Source organism: Homo sapiens, chromosome 20, assembly GCF_000001405.40.
Source record: "Homo sapiens chromosome 20, GRCh38.p14 Primary Assembly".
Lineage (NCBI taxonomy): Eukaryota > Metazoa > Chordata > Mammalia > Primates > Hominidae > Homo > Homo sapiens.
The window spans coordinates 3583847-3609574 of record NC_000020.11 but is presented as its reverse complement, the minus strand read 5'-3'; the positions used below and the strand labels follow the sequence as shown (position 1 = coordinate 3609574).

Here is a 25728-nt window from a genome sequence, read left to right as displayed (position 1 = left end):
GAGGACAGCATCAACAAGTTATCAACATATTTGACCAGAGCAACTAGGCAAAAGAAAGAAATAAAGGGCATCCAAACTGAAAGGAGGAAGTCAAAGTGTCCCTATTTGCAGTTGATATAATCTTATATACAGAAAACCCTAAAAGCTCCACCAAACTAAGAACTGACAAACTCAGTAAAGTTGCAGGATACAAAATCAACACACAAAAATCAGAATCATTTCTATATAGGAGCAACGAACTAGCAAAAGAAGAAATCAAGAAAGCAATCCCATTCTCGATAGATTTTTTTAAAACTTCCAAAAACAACCGTAGGAATAAATCTAACCAAGGAGGTGAAAGCCCTCTTTACAAGGAAAACTATAAAACACTGATGTAAGAAATTGAAGAGGTCACAAAAAAATTGAAAGAGACACCACATTTGTGGACTGAAATAATTAATATTGTGAAAAAAACCATACTACCAAAAGCTACCTACAGATTCAATGTAATCTCTACACCAATGACATTCTTCACAGAAATAGAAAAAACAATCCTAAAATTTGTATGGAACCACAGAAGACCTCAAATAGCCAAAGCATTTCTTTTTTTTTTTTTCTTTTTTTTTTTGAGACAGAGTCTCGCTTTGTTTGCCCAGGGTAGAATGTAGTGGCGTAATCTTGGCTCACTGCAGCCTCCTCCTCCCGGGTTCAAGAGATTCTCCTGCCCCAGCCTCCCAAGTAGCTGGGATTACAGGCACCCACCACTGCACATGGCTAATTTTTGTATTTTTATTAGAGACAGGGTTTTGCCATGTTGGCCAGGCTGGTCTCGAACTCCTGACCTCAGGTGATCCACCAGCCTCGGCCTCCCAAAGTGCTGGGATTATAGGCACGAGCTGCTGTACTCAGCCAACCAAAGCATTTCTGAGCAAAAAGAACAAAACTGGAGGCATCATATCACCTTACTTCAAAATATGCTACAAAGCTATAGTACCCACAACAGCATGATACCAGCATAAAAACAGATACACGGACCAGTGGAACAAAATAAAGAACTCAGAAATAAATCCACATATTCACGGCCAACTGGTTTTCAATAATGGAGTCAAGAATATTCAGTGAGGGAAAGGACAGGTTCTTCAATAAATGGTGCTGGGAAAACTGGATATCCACGTGCAGAAAAATAACACTAGGCCCCTCTCTCTCACCACATACAAAAATCAAATTTAAATGGATTAAAGGCTTAAGTATAAGACCTAAAACCATAAAACTACTAGAAGAAAATATTGGGAAAATCCTTCAGGACATTGGTCTGGGCAAAGATGTTTTGTGTAAGATGTCGAAATCACAGGCAACAAAAGCAAAAATCGACAAATGGGATTATATCAAGCCAAAAAGCTCTACAAAGCAAAGGAAACAAGAGAGTGAAGAGACAGCTTATAGAATGAGAGAAAATATGTTCAAACTATCCATCCAACAAGGGATTTATAACCAGAATATACCAGCAATTCAAACAACTCAATAGGAAAAAAACTTGATTTAAAAATGGGCAAATGATCTGAATAGAGATTTGTCCAAAGAAGACATACAAATGGCCAACAGGCATATGAAAAAAATCTCAACATCAGTAACCATCAGGCAAATGCAAATCAAAACCATAATGAGAAATCATCTCATCCCAGTTAAAATGGCTATTATTAAAAAGACAAAATAACAGATGCTGGCGAGGATACAGAGAAAGACGATACTAGTTCACTGCTGGTGGGAATGTAAATTATTTAGTACAGCCACTATGGAAGACAGTATGAAGACTGCTCATAATAGATCCACCACATGATCCAGCAATCCCGCTGCTGGGTATATATCCAAAAGAAAGAAAATCAGTATACTGGAGAGATACTGCATGCTCTAAATGTTTATCACAGCACTATTCACAAGAGTGAAGACATGGAATCAACCTACGTGTCCATCAACAAATGAATGGACAAATAAAATGTTGTATATATTATACAATGAAATATTATTCAGTCACAAAAAGAATGGAATCCTGTCCTTTGCAGCAACATGAATGGAACTGGAGGTCATTATGTTAAGTGAAACAAGCCAGGCACAGAAAGATAGATATGTTTTCTCACTCAGATGTGGGAGCTAAAAAAACTGATCTCATGGAGGTAGAGTGCAGAATGGTGGTTACCAGCTGCTGGGGGGCTGGGGAGATAGAGGTTAATGGGTATAAAAATAGAGTTACAAGGAATAAGTTCTAGTGTTCAATGGCACAATAGTCATTATGACTATAGTTAGCAATAACTTATTCATTATTTCAAAATAGCTAGAAGATGTGAAATGTACTCAACACAAAGAAATGATAAATGTTTGAGGTGATGGATATCCTAATTACTCTTATTTGATCATTATACATTGTATGCATGTATCAAAATATCTCATGTACCTCATAAATACGTACAATTATGTATCAATTTAAAAAGTAAAATTAAAAATACATTTAAAAACATGATATAAAAACCTAGAAAAAATATTAAAAAGGGAATCAAATAAAGAGGAAATTCAAAATATCCTATAACTATTAAAGAAGCTGAATCAGCAGCTAAAAAGTATCTCCACAAATAAGACACTAGGATCAAATGATTTTACAGGAGAGAGCTACCAAGTACTTGAGGTTCAGTTAACTCTAATCTTACATCTCCAGAGATGAGAAAGAGTGAAAACTCCTCAAATTATAATTATTAAAAGTTAGTTTAACATGATATCAAAACCATAACAAGGACAGGAAGGGAAAATTATCAGACATTCTTACTCATGAAATAGATACAAAATTCTAACCAAAATATTAGCAAACTGAATCCAACAACGTGTAAAGTAAGGAAATAATACGTCATGCTCAAGTTGGGTTTATCCCAGGAATGCAAATGATCATCAGGCCCTAGCTTGTACAACAGGGTGATGGTGGTGCTGTTTACAGAGAAAGGAAGCATGGAAGTCTGGGGCTAAGATCACAAGAAGGAATATGCACCGAACGCAGGGAGCTTTGACTACCCAGGTAGGGCTGTCCAGGCAGCAACTGCCAGTGCCGGTCTGGAGACAGCACTGAGAATCACCAGAATAGATGTGGCACCACAAGTCCCACATGCAGGAAACAGTGAAGAGAGAAAAGGACCAGGTCTGAATCCTAGACAAGCCCAGTGTTTAAGGAAGAGGAAGAGGATTCCCTAAAAAGACTGGCCAGAAAACGAGGAAAAGAAAAATCCAGGAAGACAAGAAAGATGATGATTCAAAGCCATGCAATGAGATAAAAAGGGGACTGAAAAATTCCATCACTGGGGCCCACTATGACAGGACAGTTTCAGGATGTGGTGAGGGAAGAGGCCAGACCATTGTGAGCAGATGTGTGACTAGACAAGAGAAAACAGGAATAAGAAGCGTGGCTGATGCTTACAAGACTGGCTGAGGAGGGACACAGGGAGTATGCGAGGGCAAAGGGAGAAGCTGATGAGAGGATTAACAAATCTTAGACCATGGAGACAGGAAAAAGGAGAGAGGGTGGTGAGAAAAACTACAACATAGTTTTTGTCCTCCATATTTCCAGAATGGAAAGATCAACTGTTCTTTAGTCACAGTCCCAAGGCATCCTAATTGATGAGTGATAACTTGCTTTTTTTGTTATTGTTAATTTTTAAGTTCAGGGGTACATGTGCAGGATGTATAGGTTTGTTACATAGGTAAACGTGTGCCACAGTGGTTTGCTACACACATCATCTCATCACCTAGGTATTAAGCCCAGCATCCACTAGCTATTCTTCCTGATGCTCTCCTTCCTCCCCATCACTCTCCAATAGGCCCCAGTGTGTGTTGTTCCCCACCATGTGTCCATGTGTTCTCGGCTCCCACTTACGAGTGAGAACATGTGGTACCTGGTTTTCCGTTCCTGCATTAGTTTGCTGAGGATAATGGCCTCCAGCTCCATCCATGTCCCTGCAAAGGACATGATCTCATTCCTTTTTATGGCTGCATAGTATTCCATGGTGTATATGTACCACATTTTCTTTATCCAGTCTATCACTGATGGGCATTTAGGTTGATTCTATGTCTTTGCTACTGTGAATAGTGCTGCAATGAACATACATGTGCATGTATCTTTGTTACAGAATGATTTATATTCTTTTGGATATACACCCAGTAATGGGATGGCTGGGTCAAATGGTATTTCTGCCTCTAGGTCTTTGAGGAATTGCCAGACTGTCTTCCACAATGGTTGAACTAATTTACACTCCCACCAACAGTGTAAAAGCGTTCCTGTTTCTCCACAGCCTTGCCAGCATCTGTTCTTTTTTGACTTTTTAATAACAGACATTCTGACTGGTGTGAGATGGTATCTCACTGTGGTTCTGATTTGCATTTCTCTAATGATCAGTGATGTTGAACTTTTTTCATATGTTTGTGGTGACTTGCTTCTGAGGTTGATTATGCTTCTGAACATTGGCAAACAGCAACAGCCTCCGTCCAGTGACCATGCTTCCATGGTTAAAGGTGAACCAGTCCTTGAAAGCCCACCTATCCCTAACCTCCACATTCACCTAAATGAAGAAGGTAAGAAGCAGAAGGTATTGAGGAAAGGCCCCAGGTGACATGAGTATAAAAAGTTAAAATGGGGCCATGGGTCTCGGACAAGAGGGAGTACACTGGCCCCCTGGGAACAGAGGAAAGGAGCAGGCTAACAAGACACTGCAGCAGCTGCACAGCCCCTTACAACTACCCTTCAGGTCACATGCACAGAGAACTGGAGACTTGGAAAGGCTGTATGATTTGTATAGGAGCCAGGAATCAATCCACCTCTGTCTGACTAGAAGGCTGATGTTCTTCAACATAGTCTCCCCATTTGTCCTCCTTTAAACTTTGATAGCATTTCTGGGATCATCTCATGTCACTTTCCACACTCTGGCTTTCAGTTGTTATATGTGGGTTTGTTTCACTTACATCCACCTTACTCTAGAATTGAAGTTCTTTGTGTAGCCCTACAGGCTTTCACATGGCAAATGCTCACTGAAGAAGTGAATACGTTTATAATGACCAAATCTGTTACATGCCAACTTGCTTTCAACAGTGCTTTTGCAAATGTCTTTCATGAGTGATACAGTCCATCCCCACTCCAATCTTCTGTGCAGCATGCATGTGCTCAGCACTCCTCTGCCATACACGTTACAAAGGCAAAGCCACATTGCACATCTCATTTACCACAAGCTCCAAATTAGTAAATTTAGTCTTACTAAAGAGATTTCACCACCTTTGCAGGTATGAGACCAAAAGCCTCTTCTTACCTGAATTTTGATGGGCCAGGTGAAATTACTGACATAAACAAAGAAAGTGATATTTGGGTGGTTGCGAAAATCAAACTTCTCATTAGAGAAACTATCTTTGTACTCCTTAATGTTGGTTTTTGAAACAACAGGCATCTCTTCTCCAGCCTGGGTTCCAGCTGTTAAAAGAAAAACATGAAAGAGAAGAGACATTTTTTGGGGGGCTAGGGGGAGAACAGAATCTGGCCTCATTAATAATAAGGACAATAGCATTTATCAAACATTTCCTGTGTTCCAGTAATAGCCTTTAAGAGCTCAATCTCATTTAATCCTCACAGCTGCCCTATTATTATCTTCATTTATAGACTGGGAAATTGAGGTTCACAGAAATTAAGTAACTTCCCTCAAGTCACACAGCCAACAAGAAATGGAGATAAGATTTAAAGCTGGGCAGGCTGATATACAAGCCTATGCCCCTAACCAAAATGGTTTTACTGGCCGGGTGCGGTGGCTCACATCTGTAATCCCAGCACTTTGGGAGACCGAGGCGGGTGGATCACCTGAGGTCGGAGTTTGAGACCAGCCTGACAAACATGGAGAAACCCCGTCTCTACTAAAAATACAAAATTAGCCAGGCGTGGTGGCGCATGCCTGTAATCCCAGCTACTCAGCAGGCTGAGGCAGGAGAATCGCTTGAACCTGGGAGGCAGAGGTTGCAGTGAGCCAAGATTGCGCCATTGCACTCCAGCCTAGGCAATAAGAGCGAAATTCCGTCTCAAAAAAAAAAAAAGAAAGAAAGAAAAATGGTTTTACCAGGAATCCATGTAACTCCCTTCCACCCTTGCCCCACCCCCAAACAGGTGACACACATGATCATGAAAATACAGATACCACTAGAATCCTATTAACAAGCACTGGCATTCACTTTGCCCACACCACTTCAATTCCTTTGCATTTCCCCTTTACACCTCCTTGGCAATGCGCCAGACTCCCATGCCAGTAATGCTGATGTACCGCTCACTGCCTAACCCACTGTAGCAGGGAGGAGGGGTTCAAGGGGTCACTCAGTCCTCCCTTCTACCACCAGCTACCACAGTATTTAAGTCCCCCTAATCTGGTATAACTCCATCCTATTCCCAGAGAGTCCTTCAATGTTCCACATTCTCCCTTAGCCAGGAATTCAAGTGCCGATAAAGATTAATGAAATGGACTTTTTTCCATGTCTGAGTTAGACCCTGTGACTAGAGCCCACATTATCACGTCTTCATTGAGACACTCATGGCAAATCTTTTTTTTTTTTTTTTTTTTTTTTTTTTTTTTGAGATGGAATTTCGCTTTTGTTGCCCAGGCTGGAGTGCAATGATGCAATCTTGGGTCACTGCAACCTCCGCCTCCCAGGTTCAAGCAATTCTCCTGCCTCAGCCTCCCAAGTAGCTGGGATTACAGGCACGCCCCACCACACCCAGCTAGTTTTGTATTTTTAGTAGGGACGGGATTTCACCATGTTGGTCAGGCTGGTCTTGAACTCCTGACCTCAGGTAATCCACCTGCCCCAGCCTCCCAAAGTGCTAGGATTACAGGCATGAGCCACCGCCCGGCTCATTGCAAATCTTTCACATGCCTGGAGATGTTGCCTTTCTCCAAATACTCTGATAATTCAGACTTTTTCTTAAAAGTCCCTCCTCATTGAGAGTTTCTGAACTTTTCTCAAATTCTACACAATGTTTTAAGATGATAAACGTAAGTGGCGTGTACAAGGCAATATTCTTATTTTGCATCAATCTCATTGCTTTGTGTTTTTGATTTTAAAAAACCCAGTATTGTAATAGTAATAATGATAAAATATAGTTACCATTTACCACATTTCAAGCACTATATTGAGTACTTCATTTATTATCTCATTTAATTCTCACATCACTCTACTTGGGAAGGTGTTTTTTTATTTTTTTTTTTTGAGATGGAGTTTCACTCTGTCACCCAAGCTGGAGTGCAGTGGCGTGATCTCGGCTCACAGCAACCTCTACCTCCAAGGTTCAAGCGATTCTCCTACCTCAGCCTCCTGAGTAGCTGGGATTACAGGCACGTGCCTCCACGCCTGGCTGATTTTTGTATTTTTAGTAGAGACAGGGTTTCACCATGTTGGCCAGGCTGGTCTCAAAACTCTTGACCTCAGGTGATCTTCCCACCTTGGCTTCCCACAGTGCTGGGATTACAGGCATGAGCTATCACGCCCTGCCAGGACGGTGTTTTTACTATCCTACTTTATACAGGAGGAAACTGGCTCAGAAACCTTAAGTAACTTGCCTAACAGCACGGTGCAAGTAAATTTAATGGACAAATTTCAAACCCATATCTACTTGTTGAGTTATCAAGTTAAGTAGTGATTATCCTTTTTTCTTTTTTTTTTTTTTTTTTTAAAGAGATGGGATCTTGCTCTGTTTGCCCACACTGGAGTACAATGGTGCGATCATGGCTCAGTGCAATCTCCAACCCCTGGGCTCAAGTGATCCTCTCATCTCAGCCTCCTGAGTAGTTGGCATTACAGGTATGAGTCACTACACCTGGGTTTTTTTTTTTTTTTTTTTTGTAGACAGGGTCTCACTATGTTGCCCAGGCTGGTCTTAAACTCCTGAGCTCAAGCAATCCTCCTGCCTCAGTCTCCCAAAGTGTTGAGATTAAAGGCATGAGCCACAGCACTTGGCCTTCATCCTTTATTTCTTTAGATTTTCTATACAGTAGATCTTCAGTGAATCACAGTAAGGCAGACAGCAAGAGCTGTGCTTTTAGAGCTTGATGTAATTCCCAAGTTACATTTCTCTGTACCTACTAAAATCTCATTTTATTTAAAATGTTTTCATTTATTGAAACGAATCATTTGAATTTTTCACTTCCGAAGCACGAATGTAGACAATGATGGTAGTGCCAGTGGCCACAGCAAGAACAGAAATGGTGGTGGTGGGCTAGGGTAGTAACCACACACTGAGCCTGACACCACAGCAAGCTCTGGTAGGTATAACCTAATTTAATCTATACAACAATTCTAAGAGGTAAGTATCATTATCCTCACTTTACAGATGAATAAAATAATGCTAAGGTTTAGAGAGGGATTTAGATACTTGCTCAAGGTCTCATAGCTAGTAAGTGGCAAGGGTGGGTTTCAAACCAATCTGTCTCCTGAGCTCGCTTTCTCAATTCCTATATTACATTTCTTAATCTACCACACCTTCATTTGCGGGGTCTTCTCTAGGTATGTCTTTACCTGAGAAACTGGCAGCCCAGGTGATGTTGAGGTTGAAATTCTTGGAGGCATTGATGAACATGTCCAAATCCCTGTTTTGCTGATGAGCGGTACAAATTATTAGAAAATTAATTAAAACAATTTCTAGATTTTAAAATAAAGCAATAAAGTTTACTCCTCTAAATGTTCTTAATCACAAACATTTTATGATGTCTTTAGAGAAACTCACAGAAGAGTTAGCAAAATTTCTAACCAATTTTCCTTAATACAAGCAATATATGCCAATAAAATTTTATTCCCTCCCATTAAAGTATACATAATTTAATGCTTTATCAAATGCCTAACTGCATGAGAAAGTGCCTTTTAAAAAGACCCCTATCAGAGCACAGTGATTTGCATCTCCTGACCTGTGCTGGGGAATCACCCTCCTAAGGATTCTCTGGGCAGCTGTTTTCAAATGTCTGAAGTTCACTCCTACCAATAAAACACTTGATCAAGTGCCCAAAATTATATTTATTTATAACTGAAACCCATATAATTCTAAACTCATAGATTATATACAGTGTAAAACTTCTCCAAAACTGGAAACAGCCTTTAAAAAAGGCATATAGAGCTGAAATGTACTTAATTTAAAAAATAATTTTATTATATTCATGATTTGAAAAATATTTTTCTCTTACTAAAAATATTATTTCAAGAGAAATATGATTGAGTATGGCTTCTTAGTTTTGAAAACCTTGTCTACCACTTAGAGATATAGCAGTTCACAGGGCTAATCTAACTTAATTTATTTTGATCCTTGGTCTTAATGACTAATAAAGATATTGCTGAGGAATCTGTTAAGCCAGTGGAGGAAGTGTACTGTTGGTGATGTTAGGTAAATTATAACATTAATAATTAGTCAAACTGAAATTTGACTAGTACATCTCTTAACTGGGGTCAAACAATTATTTTTGCAAACTAATCAATGTTATATTTTTATCTTTTACAGATGCATCCGACTGTACTGAAATTATTCATTTTTAAAAGATCTTGAGAGGTTAGAATAAGATTTTTAAGGGTGTTGTTTTGATCATTTTAATAGCACAAAATCACAACAATGGAAACATTTCCAAACAGCTATTTTTAAAATGTGATCATTAAACCAGAAGTTTCTCTCACAAAGCATTTACCTTCTCATTTACTGATAAGACCTCACCTTCATCTTGAAAGGACAGCTCAAGTGTTTACTTATTTGTATTTAGTATTTGCTGGCAGCACACAACTAACAATTACAGTCATCCTTTGGTATACGTGGGTCATCGGTTCCAGGACCCCCTGAGCATGCCCAAATCCACACATACTCCAGTCCGCAGTCTGCCCATAGAACCCTTGCATATGAAAAGTCCACCCTCTGTATACTCAGGTTTCACATCTTGCAAATACTGTATTTTCATTCCACGCTTGGTTGAAAAAAGTCTACGTGTAAGTGGATCCTCACAGTTTTAACCTGTATTGCTCAAGGGTCAACTATATGTCTTTCCACAGAAAGAATCAATAAACTTAAAATGCTTGTGGTTTTATAGAGGACAGAACATATGCATTTGGATAACTCTAGTAAGTATTCTGTCGTAAGATAAACTGGGAAATCCAGAAAGGTCCAAATACTTTCATGGTTGCTTCCCACCTGGTTAAGAAGTATTACAAAGATTCTACTATATTTATTTTTTTAATGACATTAATGGCATGAAGTATATCCTGAAAGATTTTGAGCACTTCAAACGCTTGCTTATGAGGCAGTGAATACATTTCATATATGGTACTTTTGTTAAAATCTTATTCTAAAATCGTTAAGAAAAAAATTCCAGTCAATACAGCCACTCAAATGATATATTAATACCTATAGTTTTTCCATAAAATAATTCATTTAAAGTAATTTATTATTTTTACTTAAAAAGCAATTTACTTTTGAGAATGTATCTTTTCTAGTACATTTTTTCTTAATTTTATCTTTGAAATAGAATATTAAAAACAAATCCTATTTTCATTTACTTGTATAGTAAACATACCACACTATAGACTTTGTTCTACTTTTAAAATTAAATTTAGCAATGTTTATAGATAACATTTGTTAACAAAGCAATATACTTTGTCTTACTGCCATATTGTTTTCCATGTATTATTTGTCACATTTATTGTTAATGGAATTTTGTAATGGTAAATGGCTTTGTGTATGTTCATGAGAAGTAAGAAATCTCCAAGGAAGTTCCTAAATAATTTACCATTATGTTTAGCAAAATTTCTTTAAATACTGAAGTGGGTACTGCATGACTTTATATTTCATTGAAGAAACTGTACAGGTGCATCTTCGTGTTCTGTATGTTTCAGTTTTAAATGTCCCGCAGTGTGGCCTTCCTTCTACCACTAGGTAATACCTTAAGGCAGGTTGGGCTTCATCGTTAATGACAGCAGATAAAAAAATCCACATTTTACATACATATTTTAACAATTTAAATTATTCCTGGCTAACTTCTTAATGGACCCGACTAAGCCTTTGCTGTTTTGCCTCCTAATGAGGCTAAGAACTCACTCTAGGAGCAGAGTGTCCCCTCCCTTGCTGTCTGATTGGGGTCCCCTCCCTTGCTGTCTGATTGGGGTCCCCTCCCTTGCTGTCTGATTGGGGCTGCATCACTGGCATTTCAATCAGCAGTGTCTTTAAGCCTCTGGTCACTCTTGAGAGAGTAAACCCAGGCTCTGCTATCTGCCCTCTGATGGTGGAGTCCCCTTTCTGTATGAGGCCATGATGGGCTGACAGGCAGAGTAAGTATGCGTGGAATCAATGTCAGTCTGTGTCTAAGATCCTGGTAAATCTTATTAACATCACTTTTGCCTTTTATGTGGAAAGGAGATAACGTAGAGTCTAACATTTCTTTCCTATACCTCTAGAGATCATCTCGTGTACTCCAGTCTGGAGAGCACTGTTAAGGCAGTACGTCCATCCGTAATGACCAAGAAAAAGATCCATACAAATTCAAAACAAAATAGGAAGACTTTAAAAAATCTTACTTCGTCAGGAGTAGCCACAAAATTGATAGCTGTGTAATAGCGATCATCTTCCTGGGATAGACTAAAGGTGAACTGATAGTCAATAAGAAGAGTATCTATGGAAAGAAAGAAATGCATATTTAAAAACTAAACACACACAAAATAGAACAGGTCTTTAGAGATACAGGCTGCTTTTCTTATAAATTAAGTAACGAGGAAAGCACTTTAACTCAGCTGTACCCAGGTTCCTCAAAGAAAATCAAGTCTGTGGGCAGTATCATTTTATTTGGGTTAACCCATCAAACCGCTTTAAAGAAATGACCAGTTGTCCAGTTTCAGCATAATATCAAGTAACGTCCATAATTATCTGAAAAGGCTATTAAAAGGGTATCACTATACCCTTTTCCAACTGCATGCCTGGTAAGGCCAGGTTTTTTTCATGTGTTTAACCAAAAAGATGTACTGCAACAGACTGAATGCAGAAGCAGACATGAGATTACCACTGTCTTCTAAAAAGCCATGGCATTAGCGTTGGATTCTAATCACTTTAGGGCTGTATCTGACTGTGGTTTTAAAATCTCCATTCCAAATAACGAATGATGTTAAGTCGTTTTTAATGTGCTTATTGGCCACTGTAATATCTTCTTTCATGAAATGTCTTTTCAAATCTTTGCCTGTTTTTAACTGGAATTGTCATCTTATTCAGTTGTAAGAGTTCCTCATGTATTCTGGATATAAACTCCTTATCAAATATATGATGATGTGCGAGTATTTTCTCTAGTCTGTGGCTTTTTATGTTTTGGATGGTTTTTTCCTACAAGTTTTAAATTTTTATATAGTTTCATTAGTCTACTTTTTATTTATGAATTATGCTTTTAGAATCCTATCTAACAACTTTTCCCCACCCAAGGTCAAGATGTTTTTCTCTTGTTTTCTTTTAGAAGTTTTATATATATATATATGAAGTCATATTCACAGGTTCCAAGTGGACATGAATTTTGAAGGGATGTTATTCAACCCAGTACAGCAGGTATATAATTACAATGGATATGCCATAACATTAACTCCTTTTTTCTGGTCCCGTACTCTGGTCTACCATGTGGATTCTCCCATAAAGAGAAAACACATTTACCCATAAAAACATGGTCACCTTGTCAGACTCACCTTTCACCTCAAGGTGGTTAACACAAATCAGTTCCAGACAGAATGACAAAAAGTTCAACCATATTGTAAGAATTCTGTTTTTGATCTACATCCTAAAACACGAAATATGATGACCCCAACTAGGTAATGGCAAATAAAGTAAAGTTTTAAGAGAACATAAATGTGGATAGACAAAGATGCATGCCTCTCTACTCTCTCCTGCTATCTGCTATGGACACATTAACGTTAACCCCAAACACAATTAAAACAGCTTAAAACAGTGCTCCTATATGTAGTAAACTTAACAGAATGTAAACATATCAAGTCTGGGAACACTTCATTGGTGGCTGCTATAGTCTTATAGCACTTACTATTCTCAAACCCGTTTAAACAATGAAGTTTTACTGAACTACTTTGCTTCTAGAAATAAGAATTGCAAAACCACTTACAATAACATGTTCCTCTGAGAGGGTTTCCTTGGTATCGATTTTCTACCTCACATCTGGGGGGGAAAAAAGACTATTTTATACTGCTATTTAAAACAGAAACTGAATTCATTTTAAAACCAAACAGATCCTTTTATATAAAGTACAGATAGTCTGGAGCCATTATAATTGCATCCTTCACCATAACTCAGCTCAGGCAGTCTAGGAAGAGCATGCATGAACGCTTCAATACTGACTGCTCAGCAGTTCACACACCAACTATATGAGGACAATTGACAAGCATTTGCCAAAGCAATGAGAGAAATCCAAATGTAATAAACCTATTTACTATAATGAAAAACATTTTCAATTTTGTGTGGACTACATATTCTTCTAAAAGTGCAGTCAAAACATTTTTCAAATACTAATTTCTCACTTCTTTCCTATGTTCCCTGGATAAACTAATTCTCTTCTTTAAACACAAGTGAGAGAAGACTAAATACCAAGAATCACTGTTTTTTTAAACCCTGGAACAAGTGTTCACCAGTCTGTAGAAAAAAAATATGTTCTACTCAGAAAACAATTTCCCCATACAGATCATCTATAAACATCAGCAAAACCCAGCCTCCCACTTCATGAAGCATTTAGGTAAACACAACAGCTATGCATGAAGAGGAAAGGGCGGGAAGTGGGTAATGGCCTTTCCCAGGCAGGTATGCTGTGTCCCTTTAGCCAGGGTGATGAGCAGCACCTGCCTACATCTGCGATCTCGAAGGAACTTGAAAGTCTTACTTGATGCCACCTCATGTCTTTGTTGCATCAGCTAACTGAGGGTAAGAGTGATTAATTTTGCTCGATGACATTTTTCTGTTTAAGGGAATGTGGACCTAAAAGTTAAATTTAACCTTGGATTAGACTTTTCTTCACATATTGGCTTTAGGGCAACATGAAGCTAGTAAACATATATGCAGATATAAACTAAAAAGTAGACAGACCAAACCCTGCTGAGTAGCACCAGCAATGATGTCTCAATCACTGGTGGCATTATTACTACTGTTATTTAAGAAATAATGATGTTTACAATGATTAATCAGCTCAGTGTTTTGACACTAAACACTTTTTAAGTTTTTTCTTGAGAATGAGTAAATGCGGATACATGCATTTTATGAGGTTTCCCAGTGAGACAGCCCGGTATACATTGATTGAGGAACTATCCTTCCTGTTTCAACCTACCAGGACACCAAAAACAATTACTGCTAGTCCCACTACTGACAGATGGGGGGAACAGTGATTTGCCTCAAGAGCACCTTGCTCAGTGGAGGCAGGGCCAGGTCTGAAACCTTAAACATGCCTGATGCTGCTGCACCTGCATCCTCATGGATGGGGACTTCAAACCCTCTCCAGGAAGATGCCTGACATGCTTCAACAAGGAAAATGCTAGAGTAATGGGAAATGTTAAAGGTAAGAGGATCATTTCCACAATCAGACAACCAAACGCCAAATAAATGCCATCACCAAAACACCAGCTCTTCCATCTCTACTCTTTGGGAAAGAGTATAATCTCTTGACATGACAAAAATCAAGTAGTTGCTGAAGTTAAAATGACTACTCCAAATGGACAACCCAGGAAATGTCAGTATCATTTAAACAAAAATGTGAATTCAAGAGCCATTAAGGAATTGCTGCTAACTCGACGACCTCCTCATTTTGGGGACTGACCTGTCTGAAATAGAATGGGCAAAATTTCAAACTAATCAACCCAGGGATCCCTCAGAGCCCACAGCAACAAGACACAGGGAAGTGGGTGGCTCTCAGGGTGGGGTTCAGGCAGCTGCACAGCCTCTTGGTCCTCCCTGGTGGTCCAGGGAGTATGGTACTCACAGCTGGCACTCGTCCCCCTTGACGCCCTTGGTGGTGCAGAAGCACTTGCCCGTGTTGGTGTTGCACAGAGACGCGTGCCCATTGCACTTGCATGCTGCAGAGAAGAAAAAGGAACAGAGGTCACAACTGGCTTAAAAAATTCTGACTATTGGAGACTTTTTCCAAAACAAGCAATTTTATCTGAATTGAGTTCAGTAGGAAAGACAGATTAAAGTACGAGCATTCAATGGGTAAGATTCATGATTTTTCAGCTAATGATAATAATGTATAGGTAACATTAAAGGAACCAAACAAAGGACAGGAGGAAAGTGAATGCTGGTACCCACTGCCTTCTGAAGCAATGACTATTTTGATCTTTTCAATAGACTCTCTTTTTCACTGCTATGATTCTTTGATTCATTCAATAAATATTTGTGAAGCATCTCTAGAATGCCAGGTGCTGGGTGTGGGGACACAGACATAGCTGCTGCCCCTAGGGAGGTGCTCTGGAGGTGACTGTCCTCTGAAGGAGGGCTGGTCTTGGCTGAGGTGCCTTCTCCACGATGGTCACATTTGGAATCACCGCAGGGCTCAGAACCAGGATCCAATGCCAAGGTCAGCGCTTTAGGGGCCCTCAGGACATGCCACCCTTGCTTCACCTTTTCCTTTGCCTTTACAGAAAATAGCTCTTCCCATCTCCCTCATCTGGCCAACTCAACATCTCTCCTTTTATCATCCAACGTAATACAAGCCGTGATAAATATTATACTCCAGTTGAAAAAAGTGAAAGCCTTTTTGGTCAACACCTTTTCACTTTATACCCTGTTTTGCTGGTGAATAAATGAAAGGCATTCAGCTGGAGAGAGGTATGCTTTAAAAATAAATCCTTTGGAATCACCCAAAGAAAACTATAAAACAGAATAGTGCAGAGATTAACAGAATGGATGCTGAAGTCAGAATCATGAGTGTCTGACACTTGGCTCTGTTGAGACTGGGGGAAGGTGTGTAATGTATAGTGAAAAGCAAAGGCCTTACGTCCATCTGCCTGGGTTTGAATTCAGCGTCCTCTACTTGGCTCTTCTGTCACTCTGGGAATGCTACTTAACCTTTCTGAGTTTCAGCTTCCTTGTCCATATGATGGGGATAACAACAGTACCTATCTCATAGGGGTGTTTGTGATGATATGTATATGATGTCTCAAACACAGTAAGCATTCAAGAAATCATGGCTACTATCGTTACCTAAGGACTATACAATTTTAAGAAGAAAACATCAAAGACTTGGTGCCATCTGCAGTATTCTATAAACACCACGCTTTCTACCGTGGATTAGGACTCTGAAAAATAAGGCAAATTGTACTCAGGCCCTGTAGATCTCACAGAGGAAAATGTGATGCTTCTAGATAGCAGCTGCTGATGTGGGTATGATGGCATCTGGAAGCACAACCAGCCAAGTAATTAAGGTCAGCACAGACTGGGCGTGGTTCTTAGCTTGGCCACATCTCACTGTGAGACCCTGGGCAGTTTACTTGATCTTGGGGATAATAAAAGCACCTGTGTCTTGAGTGGGTAACAGCACAATGCCTTGTACACTCCACCACTCTGTTAGGTACTCTGGTTACTGTCTAACGGATTAAGTCTATTCACAAAGAGTGGGGAAAACATTTTCACCAAATACCTTTTAATCTGAGCAAGAACTTTTACTTAGGAGTAGTGGAGAATGGCATTAGAAGGGTAATAAGAATTGCCCACATCTACTAAGTATTGACTAGTATCCTGTGGAACATGTGTCATGTGCTGCTCTGCTTTCATCTTAACAACCACCCTATTATTAGGAGGAAACTGAACCCCAGGGAGAGTAAGGGACACACAGCTAGAACGCTGCCTCTCTCCTGGCTGGTCTTGGATCAGATCAGATTCTGAAGGGCCATGCCAAAGAGTTTGGAGTTGGGATCTGGGGAGTAGGTAGAGATTTCCCTATGTTGTTTACTTTTCCTGCTCAGAACTTTGAAAAGTCTTTCGACTATAGTACTCATTATGTTTTTTGGCTGGAAACTAGAATAAAAAAAGCAGTTCATTAATATCACTTGTCATAATTTTTGTTCTCATAATAAAATGTCCTATTGCTTGCAGGCTTCTATTTGACATAAATGGGGAAACACAGGACTTTTTTTTTTTTCTTTTTTTTTTTTTTTGAGACTGAGTCTCACTCTGTTGCCCAGGCTGGAGTGCAGTGGCGTGATCTTAGCTCACTGCAACCTCCGCCTCCCAGGTTCAAGCAATTCTCATGCCTCAGCCTCCTGAGTGGCTTGGATTACAGGCCCCCGCCACCATGCCCAGCTAATTTTTCTATTTTTAGTAGAGATGGGGTTTCACCATGTTGGTCAGGCTGGTCTCAAACTCCTAACCTCAAGTGATCCACCTGCCTTGGCCTCCCAAAGTGCTGGGATTACAGGCGTGAGCCACTACACCCAGCCAACACGGGACTATTTAAACCTTTAAAATACACTATAAGTATTGAGGAGTCTGGCTCCTGGTTAAAAAGCCCGTGTGTGATTTTTCAGGCCTGACCACAGGCAATGCCACAGGCTTTACCTGGCAGAGCATGACCTGTGAGGTGGGCCTAAGTGTGGGGCTCTGAGAGAGGTGCAGTTAAGGACTCAGGTCTACCTCACGGGTCACGCTCCTTCACATGTTCACATTCCTAGCCCTGGAGCCTTTATTCCCAGGCTCCCTATCTGAGGCCTTGGGCTGAGGTCTTCTTCAGGCACCAAGGCCTCCTGATGGGGGGAGGAGGGGGAATTCAGAAGACACTTTCCTAACTCTGACTCCAACCCAGGACTTTCCCAGTCCTAGCCCTTACACCTTGCCCTTCCCACAACCTTAGTGTCCATATACTGCTGGAACCTTTTGTCCGGGCCTCAGTGAGATGAGCCCCAAGACTCCCATGTCTGAGCTGATCCCTCTGACTATTGACCTGTGCCCTGTTCAATGGGAGGAAAGGAAACAGGGGAAGTTGGCACTTTCTCTGGTTTTGGGCCCTTGCTTATACCACTGCAGAATGTGGTCAAAGGCTTGACTCTAACATTTTTGGCTTGTTGCTTTAACCAGCTACACTGAAACCTTGGTTCTTTCTTCCAGCTCAGCTGAGCTTCTGACCAGTATGATTTAATAAGAAATGTGGTATCCAAAACAAAGTGGCTTTTTTCCTCCTAGATATTCAAGTCAAATAGAAGTGCTGTGTTCCACACCGATTTGCCATGAGTAAACCTGACCAATTTGACTTACGCTGACATTTCCCTCCATTGGTGGGATCACCGTAGAAGCCAGATATGCAGGTCTCGCAGTGCTTGCCTGTGGTCAGGTTCTCACACTTCTCACAGATGCTCTGATTGATGCATTTACTGTGGCCGTTGCATTGGCAAGCTGCAAGAAAAAGAGTTTCAAGGGGTCTGTACCATGGAAGAACTGCATGTAGTTAAGTTCAATAAGATTTATCTGCAACTATCTCTGTAGTTAATTTATCTTTGATAAATCACCAAAACTGGCCCACTAAAAACTAATTTGAGAAATAAGATAAAAAATATCAAAGAAGAGCTAGTCCAGGAAAATTGAAAATGTATCACAGCAAGGTGAAAGCCCATAGTGATATTAAAAAATATTTTTTGTTGTTATTCACTAAAAAATAACGTATGCTCATGACAGTATACTTAAAAAATAGAAGGATGGGGAAAGATCATATACAATCCAACCACTCAGAGACCACTGTTCACATTTGATATATTTTCTTCTGGTATTTTTCTATACCAGAAGAACATAATTTGCACAATTATGTTCATATTAATATTCACCTTTCTTAACTTAGATCACAACTATTTTACCACCTTATTTCATCAATTATAAACAAAACTTCAAATGGTAGAATGATTTTGATGAATCTTAACAGTTATTTAACCATTCCCTTATATTCTAATATTTAGTTTGCTTTACATTTTTCATTATTAGAAAAATAACCATCTTTACGGATAAACATTTCCACAAGTGGGATTACTAAGACTCCTAATGGATATAGGGCTTTACAACTAGAAAGGTATATGAAGCTTGGACCTCTGAGGACTGCTCAGGACAGCTGCACAGGCTGTGCACTGCAGAACTCTAGGGGGGAATAGGATGGGGGAAACATTTACATAGTGCACAACCTGCACTGTAAGCAAAATCTGATTCTTCAGATCTGCCTTGGTTGATCAGTGTGATGCAGTTTTTCACCATCTTGGCAACCTTCCATAGCCTTGTACTTGTTCTGTTTATGCACCTGTTAGTATTTGAGTGTTTGAAAGAAAACTCAGCTGGGTGTGGTGGCTCATGCCTGTAATCCCATCACTTTGGGAGGCCAAGGTAGGTGGATCACCTGAGGTCAGGAGTTCGAGATCAGCCTGGCCAACACAGTGAAACCCTGTCTCTACTAAAAATACAAAAAATTAGCCAGAGGTGGTGGCAGGTGCCTGTAATCCCAGCTACTTGGGAGGCTGAGGCAGGAGAACCGCTTGAACCCGGGAGGCAGAGGTTGCAGTGAGCCAAGAAAGCACCATTGCACTCCAGCCTGGGCAACAAGAGTGAAACTCCATCTCAAAAATAAAAGCAAGCAAGCAAGCAAGAATGAAAGAAAACTCAAGGCAATGTGCCAGCTATCTTTAGGTGGCCCTACCACCCAAGGCTGGGAGGCACTTGCCACACCCATGAACATGCTAATTGCACCCAGCCACCCAGGTCCATTGCTCCTTCCTTCTTCCAATGAGGGAGATGCGCACACCAGTCAACAACAGTCGAAGTGGACCAGAGCTGGAGTGTCCTGAGGCTGGCTTGCTAGCTTTTCCAGGACATCATACCACACTTTCACAACAGCTCAGCACACCCAACCACTGACCAATATTGACAGATCTACACATTTAGTTATTAATACAAATTAACCTTGAGGATTAACCAGTATAAGAAAACTCTCAATCTCCGAATACCACCAGGATAAACACGCACAGCAACAAATCCTGAAGGAAGGGTTAATGCAAGAAATATGAGAGAATGAAAAATACGAATTTTAGTACATTCAATAAGGCTTAAATTATTGCATCCACAATATAAGAGAGCAAGCTCTTAAAAAAAAAAACCCTCACAATATTTAGAGCCCTTGCAAAATGTAAAAGAATAATAAAACCAAATTAGACAGAAAAAAAAATCGTTAACAGGTTAAACAGGAGACTACATATTGCTAAAGAGCAACCTGCAAGAAAATACTATGAACTGGCCGGGCGTGGTGGCTCACGCCTGTAATCCCAGCACTTTGGGAGGCCAAGGCAGGCAGATCACGAGGTCAGGAGATCGAGACCATCCTGGTCTACATGGTAAAACCCTGTCTCTACTAAAAAAAGCAAAACAAAACAAAATAAAAAATTAGCTAGGAGTGGTGGCGTGCGCCTGTAGTCCCAGCTACTTGGGGGGCTGAGGCAGGAGAATCACTTGAACCCTGGAGGCGGAGGTTGCAGTAAGCAGAGATCACGTCACTGCACTCCAGACTGGGTGAAAGAGTGAGACTCTGTCTCAAAAAAAAAAAAAAAAAAACAAAAGAAAATACTACGAACTGTATGTTAACAAATTTGATTACTGAGAATAGACAAATTCCTAGAAAAACAGATTACCAAAACTGACTCACTCAGAAAAAGAAAATCTGAATAGATCTATAACAAACAGATTGAATTAATAATTAAAAATTTTCCTGTAAAGAAAAAGGCCAGGCCCATTTGGTTTCACTGGTGAATTCAATCAACATCTAAAGAAGAATTAATGCTAATCCTTGACGAACTCTTCCAGTAAATAGAGGAGGAGGAATACGTTCCAACTTACTCTAGGAGGCCAGTACTACCCTGCTATGAAAACCAGATAGTAATCACAAAAGAAGAAAACCACAAACTTATATCCCCCTCATGAATGTACACACAAAATCCCCAACTAGCAAATAGAATCCAACAGCAGATTAAAAATATACATCATGATAAAAAAGTATACATCATGACTAAATGGGCTTTATCCCAGGAATGCAAAACTGGTTTAACATTCTTAATTAATGTAATACATAGTATTAATAAAGAACAAAACTTCGTGATCATCTAAGTAGACACAGAAAAAGTGTTTGACAAAATCTAGCACTCATTCATTACAAAACCCTCAAAAAACTAGAATAGAAGGAAACTTTCTCAACCCAATAAAGGGCATGTATAAAAAAAACTAAACAAATATCATATTTAATAAAGACTGAATTATTTTCCCCTAAAAAAAGGAACAAGACAATGATGTACACTGAAAACTATAAAACAATGCCAAAAGAAAGTAAAGAGGTAAATAAATAGACATTCCAGGTTCATAGGCTAGAAGATTTAACCTTGTTAAGATGGCAAGGGCCAGGCGTGGTGGCTCACACCTGTAATCCCAGAACTTAGGGAGGCAGAGGCAGGAGGATTGCTTTGAGCTCAGGAGTTCAAGACCAGCCTGGGCAACATGGCGAAACCCTGTCTCTAAAAAAATATAAAAATTAGCTGGGTGTTGGTAGCTCATGCCTGTAGTACCAGTTACTCGAGAGGCTGAGGCTGGAGAATCACTTGAGCCTGGGAAAGCGGAGGCTGCAGTGAGCCAAGATAGCACCACTGCGCTCCAGCCTGGGTGACAGAGTGAGACCCTCTCTCAACAAACAAACAAACAAACAAACAAACAAACAAACAGGCAATACACCCCAAATTGGTCAGTAGATTCAATGCAAACCTTATCAAACCAGTTGGCTTTTTGTTGTTGCAGAAAATGGCAAGCTCATCCTAAAATTAATATGAACATGCAAGAAACCCAGAATAGCTGTAACAGTCTTGCAAAATAAGAACAAAGGTGGAGGACTTAGCCTTCCCAATTTTAAAACTTATACAAAGCCACAGTAATCAAAACAGTGTAATATTGGCAAAAGGAGAAACATTGGTCAACTGCACAAAAATGAGAGCTTAGAAAAAAGTTCCTAGATTCACAGTCAACTGATCTGCAACAAATGTGCCATGAAAATTCAATGGTTAAAAAAAAAAAAAAATCTTTTCAACAAATGGTGCAGGACCACATCCACAGGCAAGAAGAGAGTTTGGACCCCTACCTCACACCATACACAAAAATTAACTCAAAATGGATCAAGGACCTAATGTAACACACAAATCTATGAAACTTTTCAAAGAAAACTTAGGAGCAAATCTATGTGATCCTGGGTTACTTGGGCACTGATTTTCTAGATACAATACCAAAAAGCACATGGGATAAAATAAAACATTGATACATGGAACTTAATCAAAACTGAAAACTTTTGATTTCAAAAGGCATATTAAGAAAGTGAAAAGAAACCCATATAATGGGAGAAAGTATTTGCAAATAATATATCCAATAAGGGACTTCAGAATTCATAAAGAACTCTTACAACTCAATAATAAAAAAGACAACATAACTGAAAAATGGGCAAAGAATTTGACTAAATATTTCTCCAAAGAAGATATACAAAAGGCTAACTAATGAAGTTGATGTTCAATTTCATTAGTTATCAGGAAAATACAAATGAAAACAACAGTGAGATGCCATTTCTCATCCACTAGAACAGTTTTCATTAAAAAGATAGTAACAAGTATTGGCAAGGATGTGGAAAGATATGAACCTTCATATGATGTTGGTGAGAGCATAAAATGGTGCAGCTACTCTACAAAATCTCATGCCTATTATTCCTTGTTTCCATCCCCAGCCCTAGGAAACCACTAAACATCTACTTTCTGCCTTTGGACATTTCATATAAATGGCATCATGCAATGCATAATCTTTTGTACCTGGCTTCTTTTACATAGCATGTTTTTTTAGGGTAATTCATGTCAGAAAATAATACTGCAGCTACTCTAGAAAACCTCATGCCTATTATTCCTTGTTTCCATCCCCAGCCCTAGGAAACCACTAAACATCTACTTTCTGCCTTTGGACATTTCATATAAATGGCATCATGCAATGCATAATCTTTTGTACCTGGCTTCTTTCACATAGCATTTTTTTTAGGGTAATCCATGTCAGAAAATAATGCTGCAGCTACTCTAGAAAACCTCATGCCTATTATTCTTCATTTCCATGCCCAGCCCTAGGAAACCACTAAACATCTACTTTCTGTCTTTGGACATTTCATATAAATGGCATCATGCAACGCATAATCTTTTGCACCTGGCTTCTTTTACATAGCATGTTTTTTTAGGGTAATCCATGTCAGAAAATATGTCAGTACTTCATTCCTTTTTATTGCCAAATAACATTACACTGTATGAATATACAACACTTTGTTCATCCATTTGCCAGCTAACAGGTATTTGGCTTGTTTTCACTTTTGCTTATTATGAATAATGTTGCTTTGAGCATGATGCTATGAAGAATGATGCTATAAGCATAAGCATTTATATACAAGTTTTTGGGTAACATATGTTTTCAATTTTCTTGGGTATGTACCTAGGAGTAAAACTGCTGGGCCGTATGATAACTCTATATTTAACTTTTTGAGGACCTGCCAACCTGCATGAGAGTTCCAATTTCTACATATCCTTCCAATACTTGTTATTACCTGTTTTATTGATTACAGCCATCTCAGTGGGTGTAAAGTGGTATCTCATTGTGGCTTTGACTTGCATTTCTTGGTAATGATGAATGATATTGAGTATCTTTTCATGTGCTTATTGGCCATTTGTATTTCTTCTCTGGACATATGTCTATTTAAATCCTTTATCCATTTCTTAATTGGGTTGTCTTTCTATTGTTGAGTTTTAAGAGTTACGTGTTCTGGACATTGGATTCTTATTAGATATATACTTTGCAAATATTTTCTCCCATTCTCTGGGTTGTCATTTTACCAGATATATTCGTGATATTCATGAAAAAGCAGAGATTTAAATATTTCGTTAAAAAGTTAACTCCTAGTAGATTAAAAATAGAATTGCAGGTCCCCCATATCTTAGTATGGAAAAAAGGGAACACGGAAAATTTGATCCAGTTTAGTAGACAAAAAATTGGTTCCTGGTGTTAGTTTACATTTTCCTGTTCTATTTCCTTTTCTGAGAATGGCTTCTTTATCTCCAATAACCACTTTTTCTGTTGGGTTCACATTTAGCTTCTTATTTTTTCCCTGGAGGGTGGGAGTTTACATATTCTGGATGATCATCAGTTGTTACATGCAGTGCAGGTATTTTCTCCCAGTCTGTCTCTGCCCTTTTAGCTTTGTTTACAGTGGACTTTCCCTTACAAAGTCCTCACAAACAGCCCTGTTGTCAATGGCAGGCTCTTAGAGAAGTTCTTGACTGCTAATCTCTGAGGAGTCTTTGCACCAGCCCAGCCTCTCCCAACTGTTCTAGAAACCCACAGACACATTGCTGAGTGGTCACTTCAAGTCTGAATCAAAGGCCAATTTCTTAGAATTGGTTTCTTAGGAACCCACCACCACTCTCAGCAGGTCCAGGTCAGGCCTTGGACCAGCTTCTGGTCTATTCCTTCTTGTACCAACCATTAGGAGGAAGGAAAGGGGCTGAGGGCAGGGAGTTACATATACACAACGTAGCTTTCAAGGTTTTATTCTTCATAAATCAGTAGTGAAACACTTGAATTTGGATATGCAAGGCATCTTACCTGGACAGTGAATGAAAGACCAGTTGTATCTGCTGTCCTCTAGACACATGCTGGAATTGAGCAGGGGCTGTGGATAGAAATTTCCTGTAGGGGCTTGCGAAGGCATCTTCACTGGTCCTTTATAGGAACCCTCTATGCATTTCCCTTTGCCAGTATTGCTGGGATCAGTACACCAGCCACAGCCTGGTTGCTCCAAGCAATGACTACAGGTACAGTAGCCTGAACAATTTTCAGCTATTAAAAAAAAAAAGTTGCAATTGACTATCACAGGTAGATCTGAATTCACTGTATTTACTTTTTTTTTAACAGACTATTCAACTGGCTTGAGTCAAAAATATTATTCTGTCTTGATTATTTAAAAGAGATAATGAATGTAAAGAGCCCAGTATTTTGCCCAATACATAACAGAGATGACCCTTCCCTCCTCTCTCAATCCCAGGATGTTGAAGGCAAAAGGGACCTTAGAGATTATCTATTGGAAAGCATTTACTTTACAAATTAGGAAATTCAGATATGGAGATATTACATGGATTGAGCAATATGACACTGAAGTTGGACAAGTTATTTCTGTACTCTGTGATCTATCTTACATTTATTTACTGTCAATGTGCCTGATTCTGTATGAAGGTTCTCAATAGGCAGCAAGGTCTCGATGGCAGTCTCTGGTCAGGTTTGAGCAGAGGTCATGTCCAGTCTTGTTTCTAAAATGTTCAGAGGCTGACAGCACAGCCTCATGGCTGAGTTGTTGCCTATACAGAGGGCATGCATAAGTGCCTAGGGCTCCCTTTTTCACTTACGGGGGCAGGTGCTCATCGTATACCATTCCATACACTGGCCAAAAGGGAAGGAGGCCACGTAGGCATTGGAGTCCACACACTGCTTCATGTTGCTGCACCACATGCACTCAGAGCTGCCGCTGGTGCAATCTCCACATGCTGTCCTCAAGGCACATGGTGTCCGGCACTGCTTAGCACTGTGGTTTGCTGGGAATGAAACCCAAGAGAGACACTTAGAGCTCCCACCATGTCCGCTAA

The 25728-nt window shown here is 39.6% G+C and overlaps 1 protein-coding gene across 4 annotated transcripts in view; it reads right to left on the bottom strand.

Annotated features, from left to right (window-relative positions):
• ATRN (attractin) overlaps positions 1-25728 on the bottom strand; it is a 180101-nt gene that overhangs the window by 41544 nt on the left and 112829 nt on the right. For all 4 annotated transcript variants that reach the window (NM_139321.3, NM_001323332.2, NM_139322.4 and 1 more), the window contains exons 17-24: positions 25492-25677; positions 24695-24928; positions 18269-18406; positions 15003-15096; positions 13146-13198; positions 11575-11669; positions 8551-8629; positions 5313-5470 (exon numbers count right to left, since the gene is read on the bottom strand). In NM_139321.3, the coding sequence (NP_647537.1) occupies positions 5313-5470; positions 8551-8629; positions 11575-11669; positions 13146-13198; positions 15003-15096; positions 18269-18406; positions 24695-24928; positions 25492-25677 (1037 nt within the window). The remainder of the gene's footprint in view (positions 1-5312; positions 5471-8550; positions 8630-11574; positions 11670-13145; positions 13199-15002; positions 15097-18268; positions 18407-24694; positions 24929-25491; positions 25678-25728) is intronic.